At 41.7% G+C, this 13,152-nt stretch overlaps 2 pseudogenes; one reads left to right on the top strand and one right to left on the bottom strand.

The window, feature by feature from the left end:
* On the bottom strand, nt 3,976-4,362 carry RPL21P132 (ribosomal protein L21 pseudogene 132; annotated as a pseudogene).
* Nucleotides 6,744-7,639, top strand: NANOGNBP3 (NANOGNB pseudogene 3; annotated as a pseudogene).

Below are 13,152 nucleotides of genomic sequence, written 5' to 3'. Positions count from 1 at the left end.
ATTTTTTTTAAATCATTATGAAAACACAGTTAAACATTTAAGTTCATACTCTGTGCCGTTGTTTTTAGTGACAGGATTTCAGCAGTGCACAGAAACAGTCCCTGCCCTTGAGGAGCTATTGGTCTAGTTAGGGGAGGTAGACAATAAACACATAAATATGTCAATGTAATAAGTGCCATGGAGAAACAGCAGAGTAAGGGTGTTAGGGAATATTTATGGAGTGTGATTATTTTATATAAGATGGTTTGAGAAGGCCTCCTTGGGAAGGTGGCAGTCCAACAGAGACCTGGATGAACTAAGCAACCAAACCTTGTGGGTGTTGCCGAGCACGGTGGCTCACGCCTGTAATCCCAGCACTTTGGGAGGCCGAGGCAGGCAGACCACGAGGTCAGAAGATCAAGACCATCCTGGCTAACATGGTGAAACCCCATCTCTGCTAAGAATACAAAAAAAAAAAGAGCTGGGCGTGGTGGCAGGCGCCTATAGTCCCAGCCACTTGGGAGGCTGAGGCAGGAGAATGGTGTGAAACCGGGAGGCAGAGCTTGCAGTGAGCCGAGATTGTGCCACTGCACTCTAGCCTGGGTGACAGAGCAAGACTCCGTCTCAAAACAAACAAACAAACAAAAAAACCCCACAAAACCTTGTGGGTGTCTGAGACAAGAACATTTCAGGCAGGAATAACAGTAAGTCCGAAGGCCCCAAGGTAGGAACTGCATGCATGATGCCGTGGAGAACAGTCAAGAGGTCATTATAGCTGGAGTAAAGTGAGTGAAAGAGAATGGTAAGAAATAAGGTTGGAGAGACCGGGTGCGGTGGGCTCATGCCTGTAATCCCAGCACTTTGGGAGGCCGAGATGGATGGATCACCTGAGGTCAGGAGTTCAAGACCAGCCTGGCCAACATGGTGAAACCCTGTCTCTGCAAAAAATACAAAAATTAGCCAGGTGTGGTGGCAGGTGCCTGTAATCCCAGCTACTTGGGAAGCTGAGGCAGGAGAACCACTTGAACCCAGGAGGCAGAGATTGCAGTGAGCCGCTCCAGCCTGGGTGAGAGAGTGAGACTCCATCTCAAAAAAAAAAAAAAAAGAAATAAGGTTGGAGAAAAACGCATGCAATGGATCAGGGTGACGGGTGTGTGTGCACTGATTATGTGGGGCCTTGTAGGCCATGGCAAGGACTTTGGGCTTTTACTAAGCAAGGTGGGGAGCCATTTGAGGGATTTTAACAGATGAATGATGTAACATAACTTAATTTTAGGAGGGTCTGGCTGCTCTTTGGGCAACATCACATGGTGAAGAAGTTGTAACAGTAGCAGTAGTAGTAAGAATAATGGCATTTTGAAATCCAGGAAAATGAGACTTTAAAATGCATATACCTTGTAACTATATGTCCCCGTTGACTTTTTTTTCCCTACAAAATTTAATGTGAGGCCAGGCACGGTGGCTCACATCTATAATCTCAGTACTTTGGGAGGCTGAAGTGGGAGGATTGCTTGAGCCCAGGAGTTTGAGACCAGCCTAGGCAACATGCCAAGACCCCATCTCTACAAAAAATACAAAAATTAGCTGAGCATGGTGGCACATACCTGTAGTCCCAGATACATGGGAGGCTGAGGCGAGAGGATCACCTGAGCCTGTGGAGGTCGAGGCTGCAGTGACCCATGATCACGCTACTGCACTCCAGCCTGGGTGACAGTGAGACCTTGCCTCAAAAATAAAAAGAAAATGTGTTCTTAAAACCTCAAGTCATAGGAACGGTTCTTTAGTCTTTTCCTTATTATTATATTTATTATGTTATTTATTACTATATTATTTAGTTTTTTTTTTTTTGAGACAGAGTCCCACTCTGTCTCCAAGCCAGCGGCACGATCTCGGCTCACTGCAATCTCTGCCTCCTGGGTTCAAGCGATTCTTCTGCCTTAGCCTCCCGAGTAGCTGGGATTACAGGCACACACCACCACACCCAGCTAATTTTTATATTTTTAGTAGAGACGGGGTTTCACCATGTTGGCCAGGATGGTCTTGATCTCCTGACCTCGTGATCCACCTGCCTCGGCCTCCCAAAGTGCTGGGATTATAGGCGTGAGCCACTGCGCCCCACCTTATTTAGTATTAAAGTGTTCTCATTACTTGTACACACAAATTTAAATGTCTTAGCTTTACAGTATTGCTTGCTCAGCGAATATATGTCATGAGAAAGGTCTGTCAGATTCATACAGTAAACTTGAGCACCAATTATGTGTTTTGACACTACTGGGCACAAAGACAATGGAAAAGAAAAGGTGTAACAAATCCCCTGTCTGAGATTAATAAGCCCCAAGGCAACAATTTGGGCTTTTGTTTGTTTTGTCAATCTGAGAAATGCAGTTTCAGAACTTTGATAGGTGGTACTGTTAGCCCTGATGACATTCAAAGTCCTCATTTCAAATATTCAAGGTAGAAAATTCAAAACTCAGTTGTAAAACAAAAGAATTGGATTAGCAGACCCTTTTCATGAAATGAAATCTTACTTAGAAGCCTGTTATGTAAAGCAGAAAAGCCAAGCTACTCTGGTGGTTAGTATCTGGAAGCCTTCCTACTGTTGTGTTGTCACCCACCTGCACTGCCAGTGATGCCTAAGGCTCATCTTCAAGCTTCCAGGTTTTACCAAGCACACTCTGAAAGTGAGTCTATGTATTAGGGATAACAGAAGGAAATCAAGCAAAAACTTGCTCTTTATTTACAATAAACTCCATAAGGAATTTGAATTCTAAAGTTAACAAATCAATGAACTCCATGTAAAATAGTCTTTACATGGAATAATGGAAAACAATCGATGGTCCTTTTCTTAAAAACCAATTTTTCCCCATTGTAATACCTTTTTTTTTTTTTAAGATGAGATCTCGCTCTGTTTCCAAGGCTGGAGTGCAGTCATTTCCATGTAGTATGTACTTTTCCCGAGTACTGCCATGACTCACTTGCCATTTTCAAGGAATAGCAGCCCACTGACTCAACACCCTCACAGACACACCCAGGATCAATACTTTGTATCCTTCAATCCAATCAGGTTGACACTCATTATTAACCATCACAAACTTCTTTATAAATTGTTATGGAATGAGCTCCAATACATATTGTTAAAGTTAAAAAGCAAGATTAAAGACTACCATTTGTGTAAAAAGGGGGGGGGATTAAAATATATGTATGCATATTTGCTTGAATAAGCATTAATTAACTCTTGAAGGATATTGTTAATATTGATTGCCTCTGGGGAAAAGAACTGGGTGGTTGGGGAGTAGGGGTGGGAGACTTTTTGCCATTTATCTTTTCTTTATGCCTTTTGAGTTTTGAATCATGTGAATGAATTACCTATTCAGAAAAATACATATTATTTTAAAAAATAACAAAATTTCTCTCCATTTCAGCACTATAAACTCTGTACTAAAAAGTGGGGATGTGTGATAGAAACCACTTTTAGGAATAAAAAACTTATATTTCAACTACAGTACTTTCAGATATCCCCTAGTCTCAAATAGATTCTTTTTTCTTTTTTTAACTTTTGTAAATTATTTTATTTCTTCCATGATGATTTAAATGGACTTTTTTTCTTTTTTTTTTTTTGAGACGGAGTTTTGCTCTTGTTGCCCAGGCTGGAGTGCAATGGCGTGATCTTGGCTCACTGCAACCTCTGTCTCCCGGGTTCATGCGATTCTCCTGCCTCAGCCTCCCGAGTAACTGGGATTACAGGCATGAGCCACCATGCCTGGCCTGACTATCTTCAAACAAGTACAAATATTTCATAAATAATATCTGGCCATTTCTAGCCAATTGAGTAATTTGTTGCACAATAAGCCACCTCACATCTTTCAGCAAGAAATACATTAAATTTGAATAATAAAGACATTACACAATGAATTAGGACACTTTTAAAATTTGTTTTAATTTTTATTAGGGGGAGGGGACAGCACACTTCTACTTAATGAAGAGAAACATTTTTACAGTCCAGAGGTCTTTTATGTTTTTGCACCTATTATGCTTGAATTCATAGGGGATAGGTTCCAGCAGCCCAGACTCCTTTCCATTGGTTCTCACAAAGTACACTTCTCTGGGTGGAGCAGCCTGGCACTTGAGTTGAACCCAGGTACCTCTCTTTTTGGCTTCCTTTTTCTGATCATTTTCCCTCATGCGTTTCAGGAAGCTATCTTGGCTCTTAGAGTGCTTAATGTACTCAATCCGCACATTAATTCTCTTGGCAAGAATCTTGCCCTTAGCTTCTTTGTTTACAACAATGCCAACAGCATGCTGGTTAACAGTGTAGACACAGTTTTGCCATGGTAACACTTATGGGACATTCCTTTTTGAATAGTACACATTCCCTCGATGTCTCTATATGTGTGTGTATATATATATTTTTTCTCTATATATAGAATATATATATAAATAGATATAGAAATATATATAGTCCATAATGAACACATATTTTTCTCTCTATATATATAGAAAAGATATATATATATATATATATATTTTTTTTTTTTGAGACAGAGTCTCACTCTGTTGTCCAGGCTGGAGTGCAGTAGTGAGATCTCGGCTCACTGCAAATTCCACCTCCCAGGTTCCAGTGATTCTCCTGCCTCAGCCTCCTGAGTAGCTGGGACTACAGGCACGCACCACCACGCCCGGCTAATAATATCGTCTTTCTTATAGATTTGTGTGTACATGGCCAAAGGAACAACTCTGTGTTTTCTTTTTTTTTGAGACAGAGTCTTGCTCTGTTGCCCAGGCTGGAGTGCAGTGGCGTGATCTTGGCTCACTACAACCTCTACCTCCTGGGTTCAAGTGATTCTCCTGCCTCAGCCTCCCGAGTAGTTGGGATTACAGGCATCTGCCACCACGCCCAGCTAATTTTTGCATTTTTAGTAGAGATGGGGTTTTGCCATGTTGGCCAGGCTGGTCTCGAACTCCTGACCTCAAGTGATCCTCCCACCTCAGCCATTTTCTGAAAGGCCTAGAGAACATCTATCTGGTGCCTCGCCTCTTACCCTTTGTGTTCGTCATTTTGGCAAATTACTGAAAGATGGCAGTTCCGGCCAAAAGGAAGCTCTTTTTTAAAAAAAGAATTATACTTCCCACACAACACTGGCATATCAAATAGGTTATTTACATCTAAGGACCTCTAGCAGGGCTGGGAATAGGGTAGGGTGAATGAGGCACTTGTTTCATGTGCAAAATTTAAGGGGGTACCAAAAAATTCAGTTATCAAGAGGAATAATTTTTTGTTTGTTTGGTTTTTTTTTTGTTTTGTTTGTTTTTTGAGACGCAGTCTCGCTCTGTCGCCTAGGCTGGGATGCAGTGGCACGTTCTCAGCTCACTGCAAGCTCTGCCTCCCGGGTTCACGCCATTCTCCTGCCTCAGCCTCCCGAGTAGCTGGGACTACAGGCACCCACCACCATGCCTGGCTAATTTTTTTGTATTTTTTAGTAGAGACGGGGTTTCACCGTGTTGGCCAGGATGGTCTCAATCTCCTGACCTCGTGATCCGCCCACCTCGTCCTCCCAAAGTGCTGGAATTACAGGCGTGAGTCACCACGCCTGGCCTGAGGAAAGATGTTTTAATGAAATATTTTAAAAATCAAATTAATGCAAAAGTCCATAATGAACAAAATATCAATATTTTTAATAAAGACAGGACCAGTAACAGTGCCATACTGAACCAACCATATCGGAGCCTGAGGCAAAAGGCAAAATACAAGTTCCATATACAGGCTTTTATGTATTCTTGAATAGTTAACTTTTTCCCGGAACATTACAGGAGTTGAAAAAATATTGAAAAATAGATAAATTATAACTCACAGCAATTAAGTTTAAAACATGTTATTTACACCAAAACTAGAATTTATTAAATTCTACTTTCTTGGCTTTAGTGGAAGCAAACCTATTGAAATTTTTTTTTTCTTTTTCTTGAGATGGAGTCTTGCTCAGTTGCCCGGGCTGGAGTGCAGTGGTGTGATCTCGGCTCACTGCAACCTCCGCCTCCCTGGTTCATGCCATTCTCCTGCCTCAGCCTCCCGAGTTGCTGGGACTACAGGCGCGTGCCACCACACCTAGCTAATTTTTTTATTTTTTAGTAGAGATGGGGTTTCACCATATTGGCCAGGCTGGTCTTGAACTCCTGACATTATGATCCGCCCACCTCGGCTTCCCAAAGTGCTGGGATTACAGGCATGAGCCACTGAGCCCAGCCAGGAAATATTTTCATTAAAATCAGAAGCTTGGATCCTTTCAGACTGGCCAATACAGTTCCTACAATTGTGATTTTTATGAGGTGAAACCATCTGGAGCTGAGAATTTTTCTTTTTTGAAACGGAGTCTCGCTCTGTCGCCCAGGCTGGAGTGCAGTGGCGCGATCTCGGCTCACTGCAAGCTCCACCTCCTGGGTTCACGCCATTCTCCTGCCTCAGCCTCCTGAGTAGCTGGTACTACAGGCGCCTGCCACCACGCCCGGCTAATTTTTTGTATTTTTAGTAGAGACGGGGTTTCACCGTGTTAGCCAGGATGGTCTCGATCTCCTGACCTCGTGATCCGCCCGCCTCGGCCTCCCAAAGTACTGGGATTACAGGCGTGAGCCACCACGCCTGGCTGAGAATTTTTTTATTTCTAAAAATCAAACAGAGCCTCTAAGAGAGAAAACCCAAAGCAAAACAATCATGGATCTAAATCAGCAAGGGCTGGAAGGTGGTGATAACTGCAAACAATTGAAGAGTTGGGATCTTGTTATGCAGAAACAACCAGCTATGCCTTGGGATCAAAATCCAGAACAATCAAATGGAAATTACAGTGAAGATGAACAAAAGGGAAAGCAGAAATGGAGAGAAGGAGGAGGAGAAGCAGGCGGAAAGAGAGAGGGAGAAAAAGAAGAAAATGAAAAGGAGCTGGAAGATGAACAGGAAAATAAAAAAGGGAAAGGGAAAATGAGAAACAATATCCCAAGAAAAGATTAGTCAGCAAATCCCTCATGGACACTCTGGGCAAAGCTGAAGTTAAACAGGTGCCCCACAATACAAGAGAGTTTATCGATCTCATTTGAATTTGGCATGACACATAAACAGATAAGTCAACGGTTTTGTAAAAAGAGGAAGAAATGTAATAAAGAAATGTCCAAGAGAAAGCATAAGAAAAAACATAAGAGATGTGGGGCGGGGGAGCGGGTCTCTCTGAGTTGCCAAGGCTGGTCTCAAACTCCTGCCCTCGGGGGATCTTCTTCCCACCTTGGCCTTCAGAAGTGCTGTGATTACAAGCATCAGCCATTGTGCCTGGCTAAGACGTTTTTTCTTTTTCCTTTTTATTTTTTATTTTTTTTTTTTTGAGACGGAGTCTCGCTCTGCCTCCCAGGCTGGAGTGCAGTGGTGCGGTCTCAGCTGGCTGCAGCCTCTGCCTCCCAGGTTTAAGCGGTTCTCCTGCCTCAGCCTCCTGAGTCTAGATAAGAAGTTTTATATGACACCATTCTCTGAAAGGATAAACAAGGACATATTGACAATTGTTAATTCCGTGGGGTAGAACTAAATGAGGGGAGTGCAAAGGAGTTTCTAAATATCCTATTTTTACACTACTGTGGTTTTTAAGTTTTTATAATGGATGTTAATTGATTTTATTTCAGAAAAAAATCAATAAAGAAATTACCAACCTCCAGAAGTGTTTTGAGACTGAAAGGGAAATCCATTGTAGAAGTTAATGGGTTCAGTGCATTCTGCAACTTGTCAGTATATCTCTAAACATCCCTTCCAGGCCGGGCCCGGTGGCTCACGGCTATAATCCCGCCACTTTGGGAGGCCGAGGCTGGAAGATAACTCGAGGCCAGGAGTTCAAGACCAGCCTGACCAACATGGTGAAACCCCATCTCTACTAAAAATACAAAATTAGCTGGGCATGGTAGCCCATGCCTGTAATCCCAGCTACTCGAGGGGCTGAAGCAGGAGAATTGCTTGTGCCGGGAGGCGGAGGTTGCAGTGAGCTGAGATCATGCCATTGCACTCCAACCTGGACGACGAAAGAGAAACTCTGTCTCTAAATAAATAAATAAACATTCCCTCAAAAAAAAAAATCAGAAGCTTGGCTGGGCACGGTGGCTCATGCCTATAATCCCAGCACTTTGGGAGGCCGAAGTGGGCGGATCACTTGAGGTCAGGAGTTTGAGACCAGCCTGGCCAACATGGTGAAACCCCAACTTTACTAAAAATACAAATAATTAGCCGGGGGTGGTGGCACATGCTTGTAATCCTAGCTGCTCGGGAGTCTAAGACAGGAGAATCGCTTGAACCTTGGAGGCGGAGGTTGCAAAGCCGAGATGGCCCTATTGCAGTCCAGCCTGGGCGACAAGAGCGATACTCCGTCTCAAATAAATAAATAAATAAATAAAAATCACAAGCTTAGGTCTAATATATAGAATTTGGGGGAAGTTCTAGTAATCTGGTGCAATGTAAATGCGAGGCAGACATCGGAGAATCTCTAGAAATGAGGACCACAAGGTAGACATGGACTACATAGTTATGCCACGCTAAGGAGTTTAGATTTTATTTTGAAGGTGATGGGGAACCTCTCAAATATTTTAAGCACCTAATTCCAGAAGATTACAATCACGTGAGTGCTGAAGTCAACAAGGACAAGACTGGAGTAGAGACTTAGTCGATTTCTAAGGTAGAAATGTAATTCCCAGACAGACAGACTAGGTTCTGAATATGAGGAGTAAGAGGAAACAAAAGAGGATGACCACTCAAGACTTACCATAAACAATCTGCTCTTTATCCATATTACATTACATCTTCTTCCTGACATGTGTGAAAGGAAATAAGTTACTCTCTCTTTTCTAAGAAGCATGCCAAGCACCTCTTATTTGTGGGGCAGAGTTCACCATAAAAAGTTGAGAACCGCTGGGCACGGTGGCTCACACCTGTAATCTCAGAACTTTGGGAGGCTGAGGCGGGCGGATCACGAGGTCAGGAGATCGAGACCATCTTAGCTAACACACGGTGAAACCCCGTCTCTACTAAAAATACAAGAAAATTAGCCAGCCGTGGTGGTGAGGGCTTGTAGTCCCAGCTACTTGGGAGGCTGAGGCAGGAGAATGGCGTGAACCCGGGAGGCGGAGCTTGCAGTCAGCTGAGATCGTGCCACTGCACTCCAGCCTGGTCTACAGAGTGAAACTCCGTCTCAAAAAAAAAACAAAAAACAAAACTTGAGAACCGTTAATCTTATCAAGATTCTCATACCCATCCAGAATACACATGCACATGTGTAAGATGTATCCTTCTCCTCACCCCCACTACAGTCCATTTCAAGAAAGTCTTCTTTTAAGAAACTGGCAAGAAAACTGGTATTCTGCCAAATATGCCAAGATTCATATATAGATAGAGAGGTTCCCCATCACCTTCAAAATAAAATCTAAACTCCTTAGCGTGGCATAATTATGTAGTCCATGTCTACCTTGTGATTCTCGTCTCCAGAGATTCTTCAATGTCTACCTTGCATTTAAGTTGCACCAGATTACTAGAACTTCTCCCAAATTATTCTACATAAATATGAATGTATATATTCATATTATATATAGTGGCTGGCAGGTCGACTGTTTTGTTTACTTTTTTAGGCAAGCCAAAATATTTAAAGATAAAATAGGGCAGAAAAAAATCCATTTACCTTCTTCTATGAAAGAAAGGAGGATGTCCTTCTAAATAAAAATTCTTTAAGAATTCAATCTAATATTGGCATTTAAGCCAATGCTGCTTGCCATCCTAAAATTATTTTCCTTTTAAAATAATCTTTGATGTCCATTTCCAGTAATATGGTAGCCAAAATAACCTGAATGAAAGTCCTCCCACACTACAAAACACTTAGAAATACCAAATACAATATAAAATCCTTTTAAATGTACAGCTGAACTTGCAAGTAAGTAAAGGAAATCCCCAGGGGTCAAAACAAAGTGCAAAAACCCAAAACCAGAGCATTGGGTAGGAGTTAAAATGTCAGTTGTTCCACTAGGGGTGGGGGTGGGGTGGGGTGCAGGTTGCTTGGTTATCTCATTAAATAAGGTGTTCAGGTTTTTTTGTTTGTTTTTTGTTTTTTTTTCCATAGGTTATCGGGAAACAGGTGGTATTTGGTTACATGAGTAAGTTCTTTAGTGGTTCATTTGTGAGATTTTGGTGCACCCATCACCCGGGCAGTATACACTGAACCCAATTTGTAGTCTTTTATACCTCACTCCTTTCCCACCCTTTCCCCCTGAGTCTCCAAAGTCCATTGTGTCATTCTTATGCCTTTGCATCCTCATAGCTTAGCTCCCACTTATGAGTGAGAACATACAAGGTTTGGTTTTCCATTCCTGAGTTACTTCACTTTGAATAATTGTCTCCAATCCCATCCAGGTCGCTGTGAATGCCATTAATTCATTCCTTTTTATGGGTGGGTAGTATTCCATTGTATAGATATACCACGGTTAATTTATCCACTGGTTGATTGATGGGCATTTGGGTTGGTTCCACGTATTTGCAATTGCAAATTGTGCTACTATAAACGTGTGTGCAAGTATCTTCTTCGTATAACGACTTCTTTTCCTCCGGGTAGATACCCAGTAGTGGGATTGCTGGATCAAATGGTAGTTCTACTTTCAGTTCTTCAAGGAATCTCCACACTGTTTTCCATGGTGGCCATACTTGTTTACATTCCCACCAGCACATAAAAATGTTCCCTGTTCACTGCATCCACACCAACATCTACTGTTTTCTGATTTTTTGATTATGGCCATTCTTGCAGGAGTAAGGTAGTATTGCATTGCAGTTTTGATTTGCATTTCCCCGATCATTGGTGATGTTGAGCATTTTTTCATATGCATTTGTATATCTTCTTTTGAGAATTGTCTTTTCATGTCCTTAGCCCACTTTTTGATGGAATTGTTTGTTTTTATCTTGCTGATTTGTTTGAGTTCATTGTAGATTCTGGATATTATTCCTTTGTCAGATGTATAGATTGTGAAGCTTTTCTCCCACTCTGTGGGTTCTCTTTACACTGCTGACTGTTCCTTTTTTCGTGCAAAAGCTCTTTAGTTTAAGTCCCAGCTATTTATCTTTGTTTTTATTGCATTTGCATTTGGGTTCTTGGTCATGAAGTTCTTGCCTAAGCCAATGTCTAGAAGGGTTTTTCTAATGTTATCTTCTAGAATTTTAATAGTTTCAGGTCTTAGATTTAAGTCCTTAATCTATCTTGAGTTGATTTTTGTATAAGGTGAGAGATGAAGATTCAGTTTCATTCTCTGACATGTGGCTAGCCAATTATCCCAGCATCATTTGTTGAAAAGGGTGTCCTTTCTCCACTTTATGTTTTTGTTTGCTTTGTTGAAGATCAGTTGGATGTAAGTATTTGGGTTTGTTTCCGGGTTCTCTATTCTGTCCCATTCATCTATGTGCCTATTTTTATACCAGTACCATGCTGTTTGTCTGACTATGGCCTTATAGTATAGCTTGGAATCAGGTAATCTGATGCCTCCAGATTTGTTCTTTTTGCTTAGTTTTGCTTTGGCTATGTGGGCTCTTTTTTGGTTCCATATGAATTTTAGAATTGTTTTTTCTAATTCTGTGATGAATGATCGTGGTATTTTGATGGGAATTGCATTGAATTTGTAGATTGCTTTTGGAAGGATGGTCATTTTCACAATATTGATTCTACCCATCCGTGAGCATGGGATGTGTTTCTATTTGCTTATGTCATCTATGCTTTCTTTCAGCAGTGTTTTGTAGTTTTCCTTGTAGAGGTCTTTCACCTCCTTGGTTAGGTCTATTCCTAAGTATTTTATCTTTTTTGCAGCTATTGTAAAAGGGGTTGAGTTCTTGATTTGATTCTCAGCTTGGTCGCTGTTGGTATATAGAAGAGCTACTGATGTGTGTACATTAATTTTGTATCTGGAAACTTTGCTGTACTTTTTTATCAGTTCTAGGAGCTTTCTGGAGGAGTCTTTAGGATTTTCTAGGTAAACAATCATATCATCCACAAACAGCGACAGTTTGACTTCCTCTTTACCAATTGGATGCCCTTTATTTCTTTCTCTTGTCTGACTGCTCTGGTTAGAACTTCCAGTACTATGTTGAAGAGGAGTAGTGAGAGTGGGCATCCTTGTCTTGTTCCAGTTCTCAGAGGGAATGCTTTCACCTTTTCACCATTCAGTATTATGTTGGCTGTGGGTTCGTCATAGATGGCTTTTATTACATTGAGGTATGTCCTTTGTATGCCGATTTTGCTGAGAGTTTTAATCATAAAGGGATGCTGGATTTTGTCAAATGCTTTTTCTGCATCTATTGAGATGATCATGTGATTTTTGTTTTTAATTCTGTTTATGTGGTGTATCACATGTATTAACTTGCATATGTTAAACCACTCCTGCATCCCTGGTATGAAACCAACTTGACCATGGTGGATTATCTTTATTTTTTTCTTCTTTTTGAGACAGTTTTGCTCTTGTTGTCCGGGCTGGAGTGCAATGGTGCGATCTTGGCTCACCGCCACCTCTGCCACCTGGGTTCAAGCAATTCTCCTGCCTCAGCCTCCCGAGTAGCTGGGATTACAGGCATGCGCCACAACGCCCAGCTAATTTTGTATTTTTGGTAGAGATGGGGTTTCTCCATGTTGGTCAGGCTGGTCTCGAACTCCTGAACTCAGGTGATCGGCCAGCCCTGGACTCCCAAAGTGCTGGGAATTACAGGAGTGAGCCACCATGCCTGGCCCCTGGATTATCTTTTTGATATATTGTTGGATTTGCTTACTTGTATTTTGTTAAGGACTTCAGCATCTATGTTCATTAGGGATATTGGTCTGTAGTTTTGTTTTTTGGTTATGTGCTTTCCTGCTTTTGGTATTAGAATGATAGTGGCTTCATAGAATGATTTAGGGAGGGTTCCCTCTTCCTCTATCTTGTGGAATAGTGTCAATACAATTCTTCTTTGAATGTCTGGTAGAATTCTGCTGTGAATCCGTTTGGTCCTGGACTTTTGTTTTTTGTTGTTAATTTTTTTTTTTTTTTTGAGACAGAGGCTCGCTCTGTCACCCAGGCTGGAGTGCAGTGGTGCAATCTCAGCTTACTGCAACCTCTGCCTCCTGGGTTCAAGAGATTCTCCTGCCTCAGCCTCCTGAGTAGCTG

Source organism: Homo sapiens, chromosome X (assembly GCF_000001405.40).
Source record: "Homo sapiens chromosome X, GRCh38.p14 Primary Assembly".
In the NCBI taxonomy this organism is placed as follows: Eukaryota; Metazoa; Chordata; class Mammalia; order Primates; family Hominidae; genus Homo; species Homo sapiens.
The sequence above is the reverse complement of the archived record's forward strand: the minus strand, read 5'-3'. Positions and strand labels throughout refer to the sequence as shown.